At 39.3% G+C, this 22502-nt stretch overlaps 1 protein-coding gene and 1 pseudogene across 6 annotated transcripts in view; one reads left to right on the forward strand and one right to left on the reverse strand.

Moving 5' to 3' along the window:
* Positions 1-22502, forward strand: part of NCK1 (NCK adaptor protein 1) — an 89399-nt gene that overhangs the window by 29126 nt on the left and 37771 nt on the right. Inside the window, exon 1 of one of the 6 annotated variants that reach the window (XM_047448190.1) lies at positions 21511-21602. The exons of the other annotated variants lie outside the window; for them this stretch is intronic. The gene's annotated coding sequence lies outside the window, so the exon portion shown is untranslated. Of the gene's footprint in view, positions 1-21510; positions 21603-22502 lie in introns of those variants that run through there. 6 annotated transcript variants of the gene reach the window in all.
* RAD51AP1P1 (RAD51AP1 pseudogene 1) lies at positions 7443-8791 on the reverse strand (annotated as a pseudogene).

Consider the following 22502-nt stretch of genomic DNA (forward strand, 5'->3'; position numbering starts at 1 on the left):
CATGTTGGTCAGGCTGGTCTTGAACTCCTGACCTCAGGTGATCTACCCGCCTCAGCCTCCCAAAGTGCTGGGATTACAGGCATGAGCCACCACGCCTGGCCTGATCATGGACACTTTGGTTGCTTCCACTTTTTGGCTGTTGTGAATAATGCCAATATGAACATGGGTGTACAAGTATCTATTTGAGTTCTCACTTTTACTTCTTTTGGGTTTGTATCCATAAGTGAAATTGCTGGATTGTATGGTAATTTTGTTTCTAATTTTTTGAAGAACTGCCATATGGGTTTCCACAGTGGCTGTACCATCTTATCTTCCCACCAGCAGTGCACAAGGGTTCTAATTTTCTACATTTTCACCAACACTTGTTATTTTCTGTCATCATCATTTTTTTAATAATAACCATGGTGATGGTTGTGAGGTGGTATTATTGTGGTTTTGATTTGGATTTTTCTAAGGGATGGTGATATGATCATCTTTTCATGTGCTTATTCACTGTTTGCATATCTTCTTTGGAGAAGTGTCTATTCAATTCCTACTCCATTTTTGTGTTGGATTTTTATTTTATTCTTTTTAGAGACAAAGTCTCACTGTATCACTCAGGCTGGAATAGAGTGACATAATCATGGCTCATTGCAATCTCATCCTCCTGGGCTCAAGGGATCCTCCTGTCTCAGCCTCCTGAGTAGCTAGGACTATAGGTGCATGCCACTGCTTGGCTCATTTATTTATTTTTTGTAGAGATGGGGATCTCACTATGTTGCCCAAGCAGGTCTTGAACTTTTAGCCTCAAGGGATCCTCCTGTCTCAGCCTCCCAAAGTGTTGGGATTATAGGTGTGAGTCACCACACCCAGCTGGATTTTGTTGTTGTTGTTGTTGTTGTTTTTGACTTGTAAGAGTTCTTTATATATTCTGAATATCAGTGTCCTATCAGATGTGATTTCCAAATATTCCTTTCTGTGGGTTACCTTTTCACTGTATTAATTTAGTGTCCTTTCATATACAAAGTATGTTAAAAAGATCTTAATTTTGATGAAGTCCAGTTTGACTCTTTTCGGTTGCCTGTGCTACTGATGTCCTGGATTATCTGAGTGGGCTCTGGTAATCACAAGAGTCCTTATCAGAGGGAATCAATTAGTCCAGGAAAGGGATGTGATGCTGAAAGCAGAAATCTTGATGATGTGGCCAAGTGCAAAGGAATATAAGCAGCTTCTAGGAGCTGGAATAGACAAAGAACAGATTCTTCTCTAGAGCCTTCTGAAGGAATGCAGGCTTTGATTGTAGCTTTGTAATCTACTCCATCCAGGCTGCTGCAAATGCCAAACAGGCCTGTAAGACCTGTTTTAGACTTAATGACCTCTAGAACTGTGAGATCACAAATTTGTGTTGTTTTAAGCCACTATTGTTACACAGCATTAGGCAATTAATACAACTAGAATCAAAGGAGAGACTGAGAGCATGAAGATTATACATGAGACTTTTAAAATACTTTATTTCAGTAGGTTTTTGGGGAACCGATGGTGTTTGATTACATGAGTAAGTTCTTTAGTGGTGATTTCTGAGATTGGTACAACCATCACCCAACAGCAATGTACACTGTACCCAATGTGTAGTCTTTTATCCCTCACGCCACCACCCTTATCATTCATATGCTTTTGCGTCCTCATAGCTTTGCTCCCACTTATGAATGGAGAATATACGATGTTTGGTTTTCCATTCCTGAGTTACTTCAGTTAGAATAATGGTCTCCAGTTCCATCCAGGCTGCTGCAAATGCCATTATTTTGTTTCTTTTTATGGCTAAGTAATATTCCATAGTGTGTGTGTGTGTGTGTGTGTGTGTGTGTGTATATATATATATACACACATGTGCAAGTATCTTTTTCGTATAATAACTTCTTCTCCTCTGGGTAGATACCCAGGAGTGGGATTGCTCGATCTACTTTCAGTTCTTTAAGGAATCTGCGCCATCCACGTCAACATCTATTTTTTGATTTTTTGATTGTGGCCATTCTTGCAGGAGTAAGGTGGTACTGCATTGTGGTTTTGATTTGCATTTCCCTGGTAATTAGTGATGTTGAACATTTTTTCATATGTTGGCCATTTGTGTATCTTCGTTTGAGAATTGTCTATTCACGTCCTTAGGCTGTTTTTTGATGGGATTGTTTTTTTCTTGCTGATCTGAGTTCCTTGTAGATTCTGGATATTAGTCCTTTGTCAGATGTATAGATGGTGAAGATTTTCTCCCACTCTGTGGGTTGTTTACTCTGCTGATTGTGTCTTTTGCTGTGCAGAAGCTTTTTAGTTTAAGTCCCATCTCTTTATCTTTGTTTTTGAGGCATGAGACTTTTGATAGAATCTACATCTTGCTTTGCTCAGATTGGCTTAAACCCTACATTGATTCTAATCCATCACCAAGTCTTGACATCTTCCATGGAAATTTGAGAAGGGTTAGTGATATAAGCCAGTGGTACCTGCTACTGCAACTGGTATTGAGGCAGGAATTACTATTCATCATTACCTTCTTTTACTACCTATTCTAGATTTCCTTTATGCTGGGCCAGCATTTAAGCTGGTTTAAGTTGCTTCTGTCCTTTCGGCTTTCATCCTTGTGGGACTTGAGCCTTTAGTTGCCTTGCCTGTTTTGAGCCATGGTTGCTGTAATTTCCTGTTTACCCTATTAGCAAGCATGGAAATACCCTGCATTCCAGACAGATTGCTCCCTAATCTCATTGTGTACAACAGGTCCTAATAATCAGGGTCATTTATCACTGCTAGTATATTTATTCCTTTCTTTGCCTGCTCGTTCATCAGTATGAGAAGCCCATAGTGACCAAGTGGTGGTTGTGGCTTTAGGCTCCGTGAACCCCTACTGTGGAAGCATTACCCTCAGGATCTCTAGTACAGCAGAGATTTTAAATTGTGGGGATAGGAAATCCACATGCCATAAGTGAGTTACTGGGAGTGATGGTGAAGAGTCAATCTAACTTCTCTACCCCTTGGTTTCTAAACCCGTGCATCTCAGGTAGTAGGGATATAATACCCTAGCCATTGGTTCAGTGCATATGCTGCATCCCAAATGACCAGCAGAATGACTTCTTAATCGAGCTTTTAATTTAATGCACCACTTTATGATTTTGTTAGCCGGACAGTTTCTAGGTGATGTGGTATGTGGTGTAGGACCAGTGGATGCCATGGTCATGTGCTTAATGTTGTATCTTCTTCACCATTAAACGAGTCCTTTAGTTTGAGGTGATGTTAAAGTGAATCCCAGATTGGCAAAGCAAACATTTTGAAACCATTGAGGTACTGTAAATGTCCAGAGACACTCAGGGCAGGAAAGGCAAACTCATTTCTACAGTAAGTGTAAATCCTACTTCCCCTGGAATGCAAAGGTTCCAATTCCATCCTGCCACCTGCTCAGTTCTGTGTCTGATAAGTTGTTTCCTGCATTCTGCTGTGATCCTAAATTTTGCTAGATTTTTTAAATCTTATTAGTACTTTTAATTATATTTTTCAGAAATAAGCTGATTTTTTTGTTTTGTTTTGTTTTTTTTTTGAGATGGAGTTTCACTCTTGTTGCCCAGGCTAGAGTGCAGTGGCACTACTATCTCGGCTCACTGCAACCTCCACCTCCTGGGTTCAAGCAGTTCTCCTGCCTCAGCCTCCCAAGTAGCTGGGATTACAGGCATGTGCCACCAAGCCCAGCTAATTTTGTATTTTTAGTAAAGACAGGGTTTCTCCATCTTGGTCAGGCTGGTCTCGAACTCCTGACCTCAGGTTATCCACCCGCCTCGGCCTCCCAAAGTGCTAGGATTATAGGCATGAGCCACTGCGCCCAGCAAGCTGATTTTTTTTGATAATAGGGATGTGATAAACAGTTTTCACTTTAACGTAGTCAACTATATGATTCCATTTGTATGGAATTCAAGAAAAGGCAAACTGATGATAGATGTGTATAAGGCTTTGGTATGTTTTTGGTTTATTTTATTATATATATATATCATGTTTCCGTACCTTTTAATGTTGCAATAAAATTGTTTTGTCTGACATTAAAATTGCCATACCACCTTTTTTAAAAAATTGCCATACCACCTTTTTTAAAAAATTGCCATACCACCTTTTTAAAAAAAAGGTTTGTCAGAATTTATTTTTTTCATCTTTTCTCTGTTAATGTTTTAGTTCACTTTTATAAACAGCTTTAGTTGAATTTGTATGTTGTTTTTATTTTATTTTATATTATTTATTTTTTGAGATGGAGTCCCACTCTGTTGCCCAGGCTGGAGTGCAGTGGCACAATCTCGGCTCACTGCAACCTCTGCTTCCTGTGTTCAAGTGGTTCTTGTGCCACAGCCTCCCGGGTAGCTGGGATTACAGGTGCGTACCACCACACCCCGCTAATTTTTGCATTTTTAGTAGAGACAGGGTTTTGCTATGTTGACCAGGCTGATCTCTAACTCCTGACCTCAGGTGATCCTCCCACCTTGGCCTCCCAAAGTGCTGGGATTACAGGTATGAGCCACCATGCCCAGTCTGTATGTTATTTTTGTTATTTTCTGTTACAAATGAGTTAAATTCATTCACATCTATTTTAATTATGATATATCTGGATTTTTGTCATCTTGCTTTGTTTGCCATCCTTTTTCTTTGCTTCTCTTCTCCTTTCCTGTTTTTTGTTTTTTATTGATATATAATATTTTACATATTTACGAGGCACATGTGACATTTTGTTACATAGGATGTGTAATGATCAAGTCAGGGTATTTGGGATATCTATCACCTTGAGTATTTATCATTTCTATGTGTTGGGAACATTTAAAGTCCTCTCTTCTATCTACTTTGAAATACACAGTTTTGCTAGCTATAGTCACCTTAGTCTGCTATAGAATATTAGAATTTTTATACTTTTTCTTTAACAATATGTTTGTGTACATTGAGCAACCTCTTTTCATTACCTACCACCCATGTACCCTTCTCAGATTTTGGTGTCTGTCATTCTACTGTCTACCTCCATGAGATCATCTTTTAAACCCACTGAATGAGTTAGAACATACTATATTTGTCTTTCTAGTCCTGGCTTATTTCACTTAACATAGTGACCTCCAGGTCCATCCATGTTGCTGCAAATGACATGATTTCATTATTTTTTAATGGCCAAATAGTATCCCATTGTGTATATATGCCACATATGTCCATTAATCTGTTTTTGTTTTGTTTTGTTTTTAAAGGCAGGGTCTCACTCTGTCACCCAGGCTGGAGTGCAGTGGTGCAATCATGGCTCACTGCAGTGAGTAGCCGGGACCACAAGCATACCCCACCACACCTGGCTAATTAAAAAAGAATTTTTTTTGTAGAAATGGGGGTCTCACTATGTTGCCCAAACTGGTCTCAAATTCCTGGGCTCAAGCAGTCCTCCTGCCTCGGCCTCCCAGAGTGCTAGGATTACAGACCTAGCACTGTGCCTGGCCCCATACATCTGTTGATGAACACTTAGGTTGATTACATATATTTGCTATTGTGAATAGTGCTACAGTAAACATGCAAGTGCAGGTATCCCTTTGATATACTGATTTCTTTTCCTATGGATAACTACCCAGTAGTGGGATTGCTGGATCTTGTGGTAGTTCTGTTTTCAATTTTTTGAGAAATTTTTGTAGGTTTCCAAAAAGTATGTACTAATTTACATTCTTACCAACACTGTATAAGAGTTCCCTTTTTTTCTACATCCTTACCAGTGTCTTTTTTTCTTTTGTTTTACTTTTATTTATTATTTTGAGACAGAATCTCACTCCCTGTCACCTAGGCTGGAGTGCAGTGGTGTGATCTTAGCTCACTGCAACCTCTGCCTCCCAGGTTCAAGTGATTCTCCTGTCTCAGCCTCCCAAGTAGCTGGGATTACAGGTATGTGCCACCATGCTCGGCTAATTTTTTGTATTTTTAGTAGAGATGGGGTTTTGCAAAGTGTTGGCCAGGTTGGTCTGAAACTCCTGACCTCAAGTGATCTGCCTGCCTTGGCCTCCCAGAGTGCTGAGATTACAGACATGAGCTACCACACCTGGCCTTTTTTGTTATTTAAATAACAGCCATTTTAACTTGGCTGAAATGATATTTCATGTGGTTTTTATTTGCATTTCCTTAATGATTAGTGATGTTGAGCATTTTTTCATATACTTGTTTGCCATTTGTATGCCTTTCTTTGAAAAATATCTATTCATGTCCTTAGCCTACTTTTAAATGGGATTATTGGTGGGGTTTTTGTTTTTGTTGTTTGAGTTCCTTGTATATTCTAGGTATTAGTCACTTGTTGAATAGTTCGCACATATTTTCTCCCATTCAGCAGATTGTCTCTTCACCCTTTTTTTAGACAAATGCTCACTTTAATCACAGTTCTAAATTAATTATTTTCACGTTAACATAGATGTTCCCATAAACTGAGAAGAACTGAGCTAAGTATTATACATTTTTAATGGTTAATATGATTTGAAAATTTTTTATAAAAATTGATCAGAAGCTAGTTGAAATTCTCACCATAAATATAAAATATTGATTACAATTGTTTTTCACAGTAAATTGAGATCTGAGCTTCCTAAAAAGCTGTATTATCTAATATCATAATAGGGATGACTAAATACTTGACAACTACTTTCTGAAGACTGGCTTAACAAAAAGTTACTATTTGAAGAAACAGCTTTCCCTTGTTTATATTTACAAGAAAAAGGCTAACATTTTTGCAGAACTCTCATTTTATCATGAAGTGTGGACAGTCAGAAGCAGGTGGCTGTTGGTGGGGTGCAGTGGCTCACACCTGTAATCCCAGCACTTTGGGAGGCCAAGGCAGGCAGATCACTTGAGGTCAGGAGTTCAAGACCAGCCTGGCCAACATGGTGAAACCCTGTCTCTACTAAAAATACAAAAACTAGCTGGGTATGGTGGTGATTGCCTGTGATCCCACCTATTCGGGGAGGCTGAGGCATGAGAATCACTTGAACCCGGGAGGCGGAGGTTCCAGTGAGCTGAGATCGTGCCAGCCTGGGTGATAGGCAAGACTCCCTCTCAAAAAAAAAAAAAAAAAAAGGTGGATGCAGTGGTATCAAGAAAAAAGCATTTCAAAACATTTCCACTTTTATTAAAGGTTTTGACAATGAAGATATCACTAAATGTCTTCAAATTCTATTTGTTATAGAATAACCATCTAAATAGGAGACACATGCCATAATACAGCAACCATTTTAGTGTGTAAAATACTTCTGAACTCTTACTATGAAAAAATTTGGCTAAAATACAAAACATCTTTGCAATAAAACTGATAATATAGCTTAAGTAGCTTATAAGATTTCAGAAATGTCTTATGAAAGAAATGAGAATGTTTCCCTGTGCGAGATAAAACTGAACGGTTAACGTTAAGGTGCTATAAACTAGACAAAGCTGGAAAGGCACATCATGTAACTAGAAAAGAACGGCATGTGATGTGGACTTCCTCCATGTCAAACTGACAGGAAAATAGAATATGCTCTTCAGAAGGAAAGGCATGAGAAGATAATTCTTACAAAGCTCTCATTGAGATCTTGAAGAGCTTTACAGAGAACATAATCATAAAATGGCTAGAGATCATTTATAGGACATGGTAATGGATTCCTTTGTATTACAATACCTGCCTCAGATATAAACACAAATCAAATATAAACACCCTTGTAAAGCTGTGCTTCTTTCAGCCAAACATTTCTCTGGTACCACAGTCAGCCTCTAGTAGCATTTGGATGCAAAGGTTTAACTGGTGCTGATCTGGACAAGCCACAGCAGAGACTCTGATTTGGAGACTTCATGGACACTCCTGCCAGTGCGCTGCTGCTATTGCTGCTACTTCCAGATGCTGGTAGAACCATTTAGGTCTCTTGCTTTCAGCTGAAGGACTGCATATTTGTAATGGTTTCCTAGTGGCATCTGAAGAAAGATAAATCTCTTTTGGCGAGGACTGAGATTCTGATTTGATGGCAGCCAGAGCAGTCTACCAAAGTCACTAAAGCATTACATTTGGATTTAGGTTCCTTCTCTTTCTTTTCTACTGGGGATTTTACCTTCATTTCTTTTCTTTTTTTTTTTTTTAAATTTCTTTAACTTTACTTTTTCTCATAGAGGAGTCTTTGTCATTATCCTCACTCTCACCAAAATCAGAATCATCCTCAGAATCTTCACCAGTTGCCAAGTCTGGTTTGGTGTTATTAGCACTATTGCCATCACTGCCTTCCAGAAAAATTTTCCTCTGTTGTACCGCAGCTTTAGATGCTGCTTTTCTTTTCCCTTGAATACCACCATTGTCTTTCTTAGTAATCTTATCCAAATCTAAATAATCACTGGCTACACTGCAATTAGAGATACGAGGAGACTTACTCACTGTTTCTGTTCTACTATTGCCATGTTTTTCAACTCTTTTATCTTGAGACTTCTGCACATTAGTGGTGACTGTTGAAAGTTCCTTCACTGATAAAGCTAGTGCAACTTCTAAGTCTCTCTGGTAGAGCTTATCATCTAAAGCCATCCTTTTTTTTTTAGGGGTTTTCTCTTCTAGTGGGATTTCTTCTTTCTGGAGATTGTTCAAATTAGGTTTTGGTTTATCTTGTTTTAACTCCTTTGATGTTCTGGATTGCTTGTTTAAAGGTACAGTTGCAGAAACAAAATCATCATCACTGTCAGAGTCGCCAAACTGTGAGTAATTGATTGGTTTCTTACATCTCACAGGCTGCACCATGGTCCCTTTCAGGGCTTGATATTTACACTTCCCAAGTTCTTGTTGGCTGTAGTGGTGGTTTCAGTTCCCACCCAAAACCAGACATTGGCGCTCTCCCTTCACTCTTCATTGTTTCCTTTGCTGTGCAGAAGCCTTTTTTGTTGTTGTTGTTGTTTAATATAATCAGTTGGCTTTAAATATGTGGATTTATTTCTGAATTATCTGTTTTATTCCATTAGTCTATGTGTCTGTCTTATACCAGTACCATGCTGTTTTGGTTACTGTAACCTTGTAATGTATTTTGAAGTCAGGTAGTTTTATTCTTTTTGCTTAAGATTGTTTTGGTTGTTTGGGCTCCTTTTTGGTTTCATATGAATTTTAAGATTGCTTCTTCTATTTCTGTGAAAAAAGACATTGGTATTTTGATAGCCATTGCATTGAAAATGTAGATTGCTTATGGCAGTATGGTCATTTTAATGATGTTAATTCTTATTCTTGAGCATGGGATGTCTTTCCATTTGTTTGTGCCCTCTTTATTTTATCTAGTGTTTTGTAGTTTTTATAGCTATTGTAAAAAGGGAATGCCTTCTTGATTTCTTTCTCAGCTAGTTTGTTTTATTGGTATATAGAAACAGGTTTTGTATGTTGATTTTTTTTTAACACTCCCTACTTCACAGATGGATGCATATTGATTTATGTGTGTTGATTTTGTCCTGCAACTTTACTGAATTTATTTAGCAGAACTAAGTTTTTTGGTGGAGTCTAGGTTTCTCTAGATATAAAATCATATCATCAGCAAAGAGGGACAGTTTGACTTCCTCTTTTCTAATTTGGATGCCTTTTCTTTTTTTCCCTCTTGCCTGATTGGTCTGGCTAGGACTTGCAGTACTATGTTGAATAGGAGTGATTAAAGTGGGCATCCTCGTCTTGTTCCAGTTCTTAGAAGAAAGGGTTTCAACTTTTCCCCATTCAGTATGATGTTAGCTGTTGTCATATATGACCTTTGTTATGTTGAAGTATGTTTCTTTTATGCCTAGTTTGTTAAGAGTTTTTATCACGAAGGGACACTGAATTTTATCAAGTGCTTTTTCTGTGTCTGTTGAGATGAACATATGGTTTTGTCCTTTATTCTGTTGAGGTTATGAATCATATTTGTTGATTTGTGTAACCATCCTTGCCTCTCTGGGATAAATCTCACTTCATTGTGGTGTATTTTTTTTTTTTTAATGTTGTTGGATTCAGTTTGCCAGTATTTTGAGAATTTTTATCTCTGTGTTCATTAGGGATATTGGCCTGTAGTTTTCTTTCTTTTTTTTTTTAAATATTTTTTATTGCATCCTTGTCTGGTTTTGGTGTTAAGGTAATGTTGGCCTTGTAGAATGAGTTGGGGAGAATTGATGTTAGTTCTTCTATGAGTGTTTGGTAGAATTTGGCAGTGAAGCCATCCAGTCCCGGACTTCTGTTTGTTGGGAGACTTTATTACTGATTAAATGTCTTTACTCATTATCAGTCTGTTCAGGTTTCGTATTTCTTCCTGATTCAATCTTGGTAGATTGTATATGTCTATGTCTAGGAATGCATCCATTTCCTCTCAATTTTCCAGTATGTTAGTGTATCGTTGTTTGTAATAGTTTTTAATGTTCTTTTGTATTTCTGTGGAATTAGTTGTAATGTCTCTTTTCATTTTCTGATTTTACTTGGGTCCTCTCTTTTTATGTTGATTAGTCTAGCAAGTGGTTTATTGATTTACCTTTTCAAAAAATCAGCTTTTTGTTGTTCTTTTGTGCTTTTTAAAAAAGTCGTTTCATTTAGTTCTGCTCTGATCTTTATTATTTCTTTCCTTCTACTAATTTGGGGTTTGGTTCTAGTTCCTTAAGGTGCATTGCTAGATTGTTTCTTTAAAATCTTACTACTTTTTTGATGTAGGCATTTGTTGATATAAATTTCCCTCTTTGCACTGTTTTTGCTGTATCTCATAGATTTTCGGTATGTTGTATTAGATTTTCATTTGTTTCAATAATTTTTTTGATTTCTTCCTTAATGTCTTCCTTGACCCAGTGGTCATTCAGAAGCATGTTGTTTAACTTCTGTGTATTTATATAGTTTCCAGAGTTCTTCTTAACTCTTTGTTTTTTTTTTTTTTTTTTGTTTTTGTTTTTTGAGACAGAGTTTTGCTTAGTCACCCAGGCTGGAGTGCAGTGGCACTATCTCAGCTTACTGCAACCTCCGCCTCCTGGGTTCAAGCAGTTCTTGTGCCTCAGCCTCCTGAGTAGCTGGGACTACAGGTGCATGCCACCATGCCTGGCTGATTTGTATTTTAGTAAAAACGGGGTTTCAGCATGCTGCCCAGGCTGGTCTCGAGCTCCTGAGCTCAGGCAATCTGCCCACCTCGGCCTCCCAGAGTGCTAAGATTACAGGCGCGAGCTATCCCACCTGGCCTATTATTCTTGATTTCTAGTTTTATTCCATTCTTATCTGAGGAGATACTTGATACGATTTCAATTTTTAAAAATTTGTTGACACTTGTTTTGTGTCCTAACTTGATCTATCCTGGAGAATGTTCTATATGCTGATGAAAAGAATGTGTTCACAGTGGGGTGCTGGTGCCCACTTTAATCACTCCTATTTAACACAGTACTGCAAGTCCTAACCAGACCAATCAGGCAAGAGGGAAAAAAAGAAAAGGCATCCAAATTAGAAAAGAGGAAGTCAAACTGTCCCCCTTTGCTGATGATATGATCTTATATTTAGAAAAACCTAGACTCCACCAAAAAACTTAGTTCTGCTAAATAAATTCAGTAAAGTTGCAGGACAAAATCAACACACATAAATCAATATGCATCCACCTGTGAAGTAGGGAGTGTTAAGATGTTAGATGAAATGTTCTGTAAATGTCTGTTAGGTCTATTTGGTCTGATATGCAGTTTAAATCCAGTGTGGCTTTCTTAATTTTTGTATCTACATGATCCATTTAATGCTCACAGTGGGGTGCTGGTGTCCCTAACTATTATCGTAGTGGAATCTATCTCTCCTTACAGATCTAATAATACTTGCTTTATATATCTGGGTGCTACAGTGTTGGGTGCCTTATATGTTTGGAATTGTTAAATCCTCCTCCTGAATTTTTCCCTTTACCATTATATAATGACCTTCTTTGTCTCTTTTTACTGTTTTTGACTTAAAGTTTGTTTTGTTTGATACAAGTATAGCTACTTCTAGTCACTGTTGGTTTCTGTTTGCATGGAATATCTTTTTCCATCCCTTAATTTCAGCCTATATGTCTTTACAGGTGAGATGAGTTTATTGTAGGTAGTATATAGGTGGGTCATGCTTTAAAAACATTTTAAAAAATCTATTCAATCAGTATCTATCTTATTTATTTAATTGAGATGGAGTTTTGCTCTTGTTGCCCAGACTGGAGTACAATGGTGCGGTCTTGGCTTACTGCAACCTCTGCCTCCTGGGTTCAAGCGATTCTCCTGCCTCAGCTTCCTGAGTAGCTGGGATTACAGGCACCTGCCACCACGCCTGGCTAATTTTTGTATTTTCAGTGGAGATGGGGTTTCACCGTGTAGGCCAGCCTGGTCTTGAACCCCTGACCTCAGGTGATCCACCTGCCTCAGCCTCCCAAAGTGCTGGGATTGTAGGTGAGAGCCACACCGCGCCTGGCCAAATTAGTCTGTATCTTTTAAGTGGAAAGTTTGATCAGTTTACATTCAGAGTTATTGATGTGTGAAGGCTTATTTCTGTCATTTTATTAACTGATTTATGGCTGTTCAGTATATCATCTATTCCCTCTGTCTCTTATTAATTATTATTTTGGCTTGGTGGTTTTCTGTAGTTGTGAGTCTCTTCCTTGTTTGTGTTTGGTCTATCAGTGGTTTTTATATTTTTTTGTGTTTTTGTGATGGTAGATAGTGTTCTTTTGCTTCTGGATGTAGGACTTTCTTAAGCATTTCTTCTAGGGCCAGTCTAGTGGTGATATATTCCCTCAGCTTTTGCTTGTTTGTGAAATACTTTATTTCTTACTCATTTATGAAGGATAACTTTGCTGGGTATAGTATCCTTGACTGACAGTTTTTTTTTCATTGAGCACTTTTTAAAAAAATTATTTTTTTAGACAGTCTCGCTCTGCCACCTAGGCTGGAGTGCAGTGGTGCAGTCTCAGCTCACTGCAGCCTCTGCCTCCTGGGTTCAAGTGATTCTTCTACTTTGGCCTCCTGAATAGCTGGGATTACAGGAATGTATCACCGTGCCCAGCTAATTTTTGTATTTTTAGTAGAGATAGGGTTTCACTATGTTGGCCAGGCTGGTCTTGAACTCCTGGCCTCAAGTGATCCACCTGCCTCAGCCTCCCAAAGTGCTAGGATTACAGGCGTGAGCCACCGTACCTGGCCTTCTTTCAGCATTTTGAATATATCATTTCATTCTCTACTGGCCTATAAGGTTTCTGCTGAGAATTCCACTGTTAGTTTGATGGGCGTTCCTTTATAAGTGACTAGATGCTTTTCTTGCCATTTTTAGAATTCTGTGTATTTGATTTTTTGACAGTTTGAAGATAATGTGCTGTGAAGAAGACCTTTTTGATTTGTATTTACTGAGAGATCCCTGAACTTGGTGTATCTGATGTGTAAATCTGTTGCTAGACTTGGAAAATTTTTACCTATTATTTTATTGAACAGGTTTTCTAACATTTTTGTTTTCTCTTCTCCTGAGACACTGAAAATTTGAATATTTGGTTACTTAATGGTGTTCCATATGTCACACAGGCTTTTCTCATTTTTTTTTTTTTAATTATTACTTTTTGTCTCACTGGCTCATTTCCAAGGGCCTTTCTTAATGTTCTGAGAATCTTTTATCTGCTTAATCTAGTCTGTTGTTGACACTTTCCAACGTAGTTTGTATTTCATTCAGTGAAATCTTCAGTTCTGGAATTCCTGTTTGGTTTTTCCTTTTTTTTTTTTTTTTTCTTTTTGAGATGGAGTCTCGCTCTGTTTCCCAGGCTAGAGTGCTATGGCACGATCTCAGCTAACTGCAACCTTCACCTCCCAGGTTCAAGTGATTCTTCTGCCTCAGCCTCCGAAGTAGCTGGGACTACAGGTGCCTGCCACCACACCTGGTGTGGCGGCAATTTTTTTGTATTCTTTGCAGAGACAGGGTTTCACTGTGTTAGCCAGTCTTGTCTTGAACTCCTGACCTCCAGTGATTTGCCTTCCTTGGCCTCCCAAAGTGCTGGGATTGATTACAGGCATCAGCCATTGTGCCCAACCTGGTTTTCCTTTGTGATATCTAGTTCCTTTAGTAAATTTCTCCCTCATATCCTGAATTGTTTTTCTGAATTTTTTGTATTGTTTTTCAGAATTCTCTTGTATCTTTTTTTTTTTGAGACAGAGATGGGGTTCTGCCAGGTTGGTCTTGAACTCCTGGCCTCAGGTGATCTGCCTGCCTCAGCCTTCCAAAGTGCTGGGATTACAGACAAGGGTCACAGTGTCTGGCCTCAGAATTCTCTTGTATCTTACTGGGCTTCTTTAAAATCAGTATTTGAGTTATTTTTCTGGGATTTCATAAATTTCTTTTTTTCCCCCCTGAGACAGGGTCTCACTCTGTTGCCCAGGCTGGAGTGCAATGGTGTGATCATGGCTCAGTGCAGCCTCGACCTCCCTGGGCTCAGGTAATCCCTCAACCTCAGCTTCTGAGTAGCTGGGACTACAGGTGCATGCCACCACACCTGGTTAATTTTTGTATTTTTTTTAGAGATGGGGTCTCACTATGTTGCCCTGGCTGGTCTTGAACCCCTAGGCTCAAGCAGTCTGCCTGCCTCAGTCTCCCAAAGTGCTAGAATTACAAGTCTGAGCTACTGCACCTGGCCAGATTTTTTTGATTGGGATGTATTGCCCGTGAATTATTGTGGTCTTTTGGCGGTGTCATATTTCCTTGCTTTTTCATGTTTCCTGTGTCCTTACACTGGTATCTGTGCCTCTGGTGTAACAGTTGCTCCTTCTAATTTTTTGAATTGTCTTTCATAGGGGAGGACATTTTCCTGAAGATGTATTTGTGGTGTTGGTTGAATATGGCACTTTGGCTTTGATTCTAGGTATGTGTCATAGTGTAGTCTCTGTGTGTTTTCTTTCAATGTGAATGCTGTCAGTGGTGTCTGTGATTTCTTAGGTGGCTTAGATTGTGGTTGTTAGTGGAGGCTGTGATAAAGTTTTTTATAAAAGAAAATTTTAACTTTCAATAAAAGAGGTCTCACTCTGTTGCCCAGGCTGGTCTCGAACTCCTGAGCTCAAGTGATCCTCCCGCCTCAGCCTCCCAAAGTGCTAGGATTACAGGTATGAGCCACCATGCCTGGCCTGTGATAAGGTTTTGCTGAGGTCTGGGTTGCCAAGTAGGCCAGCTCTCAGGCCCCAGTGGTGGCACCAGTGGGTTGAAATTGCCTGTCCTTGGGCTTCAGGGCAGTGTATGCTGGCACCAGTGTTAGCAGGTTCAGGTAAGCCAATCTTTGAGCCTCCAGGTGTCTTGCTTGGGTACCAGGAGTGGCACAGGTGAGCCAGGCAGGTTGACAGGTTTTTAAACCTCTGTGCAGTGGGCATGGTGTGGATGATGGCAGTAGCAGTGGTGGGATAACCTTTAGGACCCAAGCTGTCTGTGCTGGTGTAGGCAGTGGCTGTGATGGACTGGACAGGCCAATCCCCCAGGCTTGCAGGTGGCACGTGTGGTTAGTTGCCAGCTGTGGTGGTAGAGGCAGGTTGAATAGGTCCAATCTCAGACCCTGGGAGGAGTGCTTAGGTGCCAACAGTGGTGGTCTATGCTAGGTGATCGCCAGGCCCACGGATTGCATGCTTGGTTACTGAGAGGGATGGAGCCAGGTTGTAGGAGCCTGTCCTTAGGCTCCCCACTGGTACGTGCAGGTACTGGCTGTGGTAGGCAGGGGAGAGTGATCCTCAGACTGCCATCAGAATGCTCTGGTGGCAACAGCAGGGCTTGTGCTGTGGCCTTGTTACCGGGAAGGGTGGGGTTGCTGTCAGTGGGAGCATTCATAGGCAGGTGGCTTGCAGGGTCACATACTTTGCTTGTGCCTTGCTCCTGCTGCTGCAGCAGCTATTGCAGGCAGTGGAATTTTTCCTCAGTGCATGAAAATGCACGGGTCCCCCTCTGCTGCAGTGTAGGGAGACAGTTGCTGCCAGTGGCTTTGGTCTTGGACCCTGTGGAGCAGCTATAGGTGGAGAATGTCAATGGGGTCTCCAGGGATGTGGAGATGCAGGGTCTGTTGGGTTCCCGGGCATGACAAAGTCTGGTGGGGGCTGGGCTCTCAAAATGAAGGTACACTGTACCTGCTTAGGTTTGTGGGACTTAGCGTGAGCTCTCTCTGGAATAATGTTGTTGCATGGTTTCTAGGCACCTCTTTATGTTAGACTCAGGGCCTGCAGCACTTGAGGGCTTCTCCCATGGCTAGGATTGTAAGAGTCTGGTGGGACTGTGGACCAGTGGAGGTCTCTCAGCTCTCCGCTGATCCTGGTTGAGCAGGCTGTCTTGCCTCCTCCTCCTTTCTTGCTTTCAGTGCTTCTCGTCACCACCCTGCTGAATTCCAGTGTTCTCTCTTAGGTGATCTATTTGAAGTGTGATTATCTCCTCACTATTTTGTTCCCTTTTCATGGAAGAGGCAAGTACCAAATGCATGTAGTCAGCCATCTTGAAGTTCCTCCCTTTCCTGTTTTTTTGATGAATTGATAATTGAATACTGTCCATGACTCAGACTGTAACAAAGTGAGAACATAGAATCTTACCTATTGTCCTCAGTGCTACAGGTATTATATCCTTATATATGTGGCGTCAGCCTCAGTCCCCAGATCTTTTTGTACCTAATAAGCTAGGAACCGGTAATATCATGGTCAGCAAGAGAGAGAACATCCTTAACCTAATATTTGATCACTTACTCTCTTTGGGAATATTTTTTCAATCTTAGTAGTGATGGTGTTTCTGAAAGTCCAGTAGTTAAAGGTAGAATTGAAAGTGTTTACCATTCAAAAGTACTTCAGTATTTTAGTAAAAACATACATTATAGTAAACAATGATAAATATGATTTTCAGGGAGGAAAAAAAGCATGAGATTCTTTATAATAGCAAAATAGTCTGTTTACTTAGGGTACATAGGTCCGCAACCGTATCACTTCGTCATATTAACATTCCTTCACCAGTAGCTGCAGGGACCCATATAGTCTTAATAATTAAAGTACTTTTAAATTAGTTTTTAAAAATATTAGAACAGATCATGTATGCCTGGTTTAAATACAAAGGAATGATAGAGGGTTTTAAAAGATAAAGCCTTGTTCAAAAAATGAGGTAAATTTATCTGTAGAATTAGTGGACTAGATGTACAGCTTGCAAAGTGAGGGTGAGGCCACAGTGCCAGCATTTGGATATGGAAACAGGGTTGACGTGGTTCTGAATTCATGTCCTTATAAGATCATCAGGGCTGAAAGAGTCACACATGAAACTGGAGACCAAATCTGTGGATACTGAGTAAAACAAGAAACAGGGATAGGTTGTCCCACCTGTTAAAGGAGGTGAACTGCGACTGATTACTGCCAATGTGGTGACATCTAACTCCAAAGGAGACTGACAATATATATTTTTTACTGTGGTTGCCATGTCCCTTACTCAAAATTGGTAGCTCTTAGGAAGAAGAGAAAAGATATTAAAAGTAGACAGCTAATGGTTTCTGCATGTGAAGGTACAAAAATTATAAGACCATTACAAGAGAATTTCAGATTCAGTGGGATATATACAGTATAGTGCTGTGGTTTGAATGTGTACCCCAAAGTTAATGTGTTGGAAAGTTGATGCAGTGGTGTTGGGAGGTGGGGCATAATGGGAGGTGTTTGGGTCTTGGGGACACTACACTCATGAATGAATTAATGCTGTTATTTTAGGAATGGGATCCATGACTCTTCCCCCACTCACCCCCAGATATTTGATGCCTTCCTCCTTGTTGTTATGTAGTAGGAAGGCCTTCACCAGATGCTAGTGTCTTGATCTTGAACTTCCCACCCTTCAGAACTATGAGGAAATAAATTTCTGTCCTTTATAAATCACCCAATCTCAGATATTCTGTTATAGCAGCACAAAATGGACTAAGACAGTAAGAGAGAGGCAGAAGTTAGGTAGAATCACAGAGAAGGGAGTCACTGACTACTCAGAGATATCTAGGCAAATGGTGCAAAGAAAATATGTGAATTGGGTCTTAAAAATACGTAGAAGTTTGCTGAGAGGGGAAGGGCATGCTAGACTGAGGACTGAAACACCGTGTGAAAGGAGCTGAAACTCATAATTTGTAAATGCTAAAAACCACGTGTATGATATTCTGTTGAGGTGCCAGGGATACAAAATGAAACAAGGCTGTTTCCTCTAAGAGCTTGCTCTGAGAGACAATTATTTAAACAACCAATTTCAATGGCAGAATGTCGAGTGCTGTAATAATATAAATGTCCCATGTGCACTTGAGAAGAATATGATTTGTGTTGTTGGATAGTGTTCTCTGATACAGCTAATTGGTTTATAGTATTAAGTCCTCTTTCCTCTTTTGTCTGATTATTCTACCCATTATTGAGAGTCAGGTATTGAAGTTTCCAATGATTACTGTAGAACTGTCTTGTTTCTCCCTTAAATTCTGTTAGTTTTTGCTTTATATATTTTGATGGGCTGTCATTACATGTTAAATGTTTATCATAGTATCTTCTTGCTATATTAAACTTTTTATTAATGTATAGTATCCTTCCTTGTCTCTTACACCTTCTTGTTTTATAGTCTATGTTGTCTGATGTTAATACAGCCCACCTCACTTCTCTTACGGTTCCTATGTGCATGGACTAGCCTTTCCCTCCTTACACGTTTTACCTATTTGTGTCTTTGGATCTAAAGTGAGTCTCTTACGGATAGCATATATTTAGAATTTTTTTTCTATTCATCTTGCCAATCTCTGTCTTTTGATTGGAGAGTTTATTTACATTAGAGTAGTTACTGATTAGGAGAGACTGCTGTTATTTTGCTATTTGTTTTCTTTATGCCTTACAGCTTTCTTGTCACTCATTTGCTGCATTACTGTCTTTTGTGCTGAATTTAATAGAATAATTCCATTCTAATTTCCTTTTGTGTCTATTCAGTAGCTACTTTTTGTAGTTACCATGGGGATTACATTTAACATTCTGAAGATAAAACACTCCAATTTAAATTTATACCAGCTTAACTTCAGTAACATAGAGTAACTTCCTGTACAGCTCCATCCCTACCCCCTTTTGGTTATTTTATGCATTTGTCTCTTATGTAGAAAATAAAATGTGTAGTAACAAACTAAAGTTACAATTATTCTAGCTTTTAGAGTAATGTTTTTGTTGTGTAGTAAAGTTATGTTTAAAAAATTACAAACTGAATAAACCTCAGAGTTACAAACTAAAGTTACAGTAATACTAGCTTTTATACTTGCCCATGCATTTACTTTTACTTTATATAGCTTCAAATTACTGTCTAGCATCCTTTCCTTTCAACCTGTTTGACTCCTCTTAGCATTTATTTATTCCAGTTTTAAATTTAATGTTGTTAATTGACAAATCATAATTTTATACTTTTCTGGGGTACAATGGGATGTTCTGACACATGTATACAATGTGAAATGATTAAATCAAGCTAATTAACATATCCATAACCTTGTTTACATATCATTTTCATAACGAGACATTTAAAATGTACTCTTAGTTATTTTGAAATATATAATACATTAATACTGACTGGAATCACTGTGCTGTGCAATAGGCCTCAAAGCTTATTCCTCCTCTCTGAAACTTGATATCCTTTGACCAACACCTTCCCATCCTGGCTTCTCCCCAGTCTCTGGTAAGCATCATTCTACTCTCTACTTCTATGAGTTCAACTTTTTTAGATTCCACATGTATGTGAGACCATGTCTTTCTGTGCCGGCTTATTTAATTTAGCATAAAGTCCTCTAGGTTCATTTATGTTGTTGCAAATGAAAGAATTTACTTCTTTTTTAAGGCTGAATTTCATTGTGTATATACACCACATTTTTTCTTCATTAATCCATTGATGGACACTTAAGTTGATTCCATATCCTGGCTATTGTGAATAATGCTGCAATGAACATGGGAATATAGATGTCCCTTTGCCATATTGATTTTAGTTCCTTTGGATATATACCCAGAAGTGGGATTGCTGGATCATATGGTAGCTCTAATTTAGTTTTTTGAGGACCCTCCATACTCTTTTTCATAATGGCTGTACTAATTTAATTTACATCCCCACCAGCAATGTACAAATGTTTGCTTTTCTCTGCATCCTCATCAACCTTTTTATTGTTCTTTTTGATAAAAGCCATGCTAACGGATCTTAGTGTTTTAAATTGCATTTCCCTAATGATTAGTGATGCTGAGCATTTTCTTATGTATCTGTTGCCATTTTCATGTCTTTTTTTGAGAAATGTTTGTTCAAGTCTTTTGCCTATTCTAAAACCAGGTTGCTTTCTTGCTACCGAATTGTCTGGAGTTCCTTATATATTTTGGATATTAACCCCTTATCAGTTGTATGGTTTGCAAATATTTTCTCCCATTCTGTGTGCTGTCTCTTCGCTTTGTTAATTGTTTGCTGTGCAGTTGCTTTTTAGTTTGCTCTTTTAGCATTTCTTGCACAGAAGTTCTAGTGGTAATGAATTTCCTTAACTTTTGTTTATTTTGGAAAGTCATAATTTTTCCCTCACTTTTGAAGGAGAGTTTTGCCAGTATAGGATTCTTAGCTGACAGTTTTTTTTTTATTCTCCCCTTTGGTAGTTAATTAGACTATTAGACTATATTAGCCCACTGTGTTTTGGCCTACAGAGCTGCTGATGAGAAATCTGCTTATAATATCATTGAGGATCCCTTATATGTGACAGATTACTCTTACTCCTTTCAAGAGTCTCTGTTTCTTTTTGGATAGATTATAATGTGTCTTGCTGTGCATCTCCTTGTGTTCATGCTACTTGGAGTCTGTTGAGTTTATTGAATATGTATATTTATGTCTTTCATCAAATTTGGGAAGTTTTTAGCTATTATTTTTTCTTTTTTTTTTTTTTTTTTGAGACCGAGTCTCGCTCTGTCACCCAGGCTGGAGTGCAGTGGTGTGATCTTGGCTCACTGCAACCTCTGCCTTCCAGGTTCAAGCAATTCTCCTGCCTCAGCCTCCCACGTAGCTGGAACTACAGGCACATGCCACCACGCCTGGCTGATTTTTGTGTTTTTAGTAGAGATGGGGTTTCGCCACGTTTGGCCAGGCTGGTAGCCATTAGTTTTTCAAATAATCTCTTTGCCCCTCTACTTTTGGCATTCCCACAATGTGTGTGTTCGTTCTCTTGATAGTGTCTGTTTGCCTCTTTTGACTTTTCTTCAGTCTTTTTTTTTTTTTTATGTTGCCCTATCATCACACTTGTTGATTCTTTCTTCTGCCTGCTCAAGTCTTTATTCAAATCCCTGTAGTGAATTTTCCATTTTAGTTATTGCCCTCAGGAGCTCCACAGTTTGTTTTTAGTTTCCTTTGAGATTTTTCCCTCCTCTTTTTTTTTTTTAAGACAGGGTCTCAGTTTGTCACCCAGGTTGGAGTTTGGCTGTGTGATCACGGTTCATGGGCTCACTGCAGCCTCAAACTCCTGGGCTCAAGCAGTCCCCCTGCTTCAGCTTCCTGAGTAGCTGGAACTACTTGCGCTGCTGTGCTTGGCTAATTTTTAAATTTTTTTTGTAGAAGCAGGGTCTTGCTGTTTCCCAAACTGGTCTTGGTCTTGATATCCTGGACTCAAGTGATCCTTCTGCCTCAGCCTCCTAAAATACAAGGATTACAGGTGTGAGCCACTGCACCCAGCCTCCTTTGAGGTTTTCTATCTCTTTACTCATTTTCCTACTTTCTTTCTACATTGTTTTCTTGCCTTTCTCTGTGTCTTCTTTTAGTTCTTTGAACACCTTTAAGGTAGCTTTTTAAAAGTCTTTGTCTATTAGGCCCGTCTTCTGATCTTTCTCTGGGAAGGTTTCTGTTGGTTTATTTTTTTTTCTTTCATATAGGCCATACTTTCCCATTTCTTTGTATCCCTTTTTGTTGTTGAAAACTGGACATTTAAATCTGCTAATGTGATAACTCTGGAAATCAGATTGTCTCCTTTCCTCAGGATTTGCTGGGTTTTTGTGTGTGCTTGTTTTTCTTTTTGTTTTTAGAGTCTTGCTTTGTCACCCAGGCTGGAGTGCAGTGGCATGATCATGGCTCACTGTAGCCTTGACCTCCTGGGCTCAAAGGATCCTCCTTCCTGAGGAGCTGGGACTGCAAGTGTGCACCACTATGCCTGCCTAATGTTTTATTTTTTGTAGAGACAGGGTCTCATTATGTTGCCCAAGCTTGTCTAGAACTCCTAGGCTCAAGCAGTCCTCCCGCTTTGGCCTCTCAAAGTCTTGGAATTACAAGTTTGAGACACTGCACCCAGCCCTTTTTATTTTTTGATTGTTGTAGGCTATCTCAGATCTTTTCTGAGCCTTTGCCTTTTCCTGGACATGCACAGTGATTTTCTTTTGTTTTGTTTTTTGTTTGTTTTGTTTTGTTTTTTTGAGACGGAATCTCACTCTTTCGCCCAGGCTGGAGTGCAGTGGCGCGATCTCGGCCCACTGCAAGCTCCGCCTCCCGGGTTCACGCCATTCTCCTGCCTCAGCCTCCTGAGTAGCTGGGACTACAGGCGCCCGCCACCGCGCCCAACTAA

This window comes from Homo sapiens, chromosome 3, assembly GCF_000001405.40.
Source record: "Homo sapiens chromosome 3, GRCh38.p14 Primary Assembly".
NCBI lineage: Eukaryota > Metazoa > Chordata > Mammalia > Primates > Hominidae > Homo > Homo sapiens.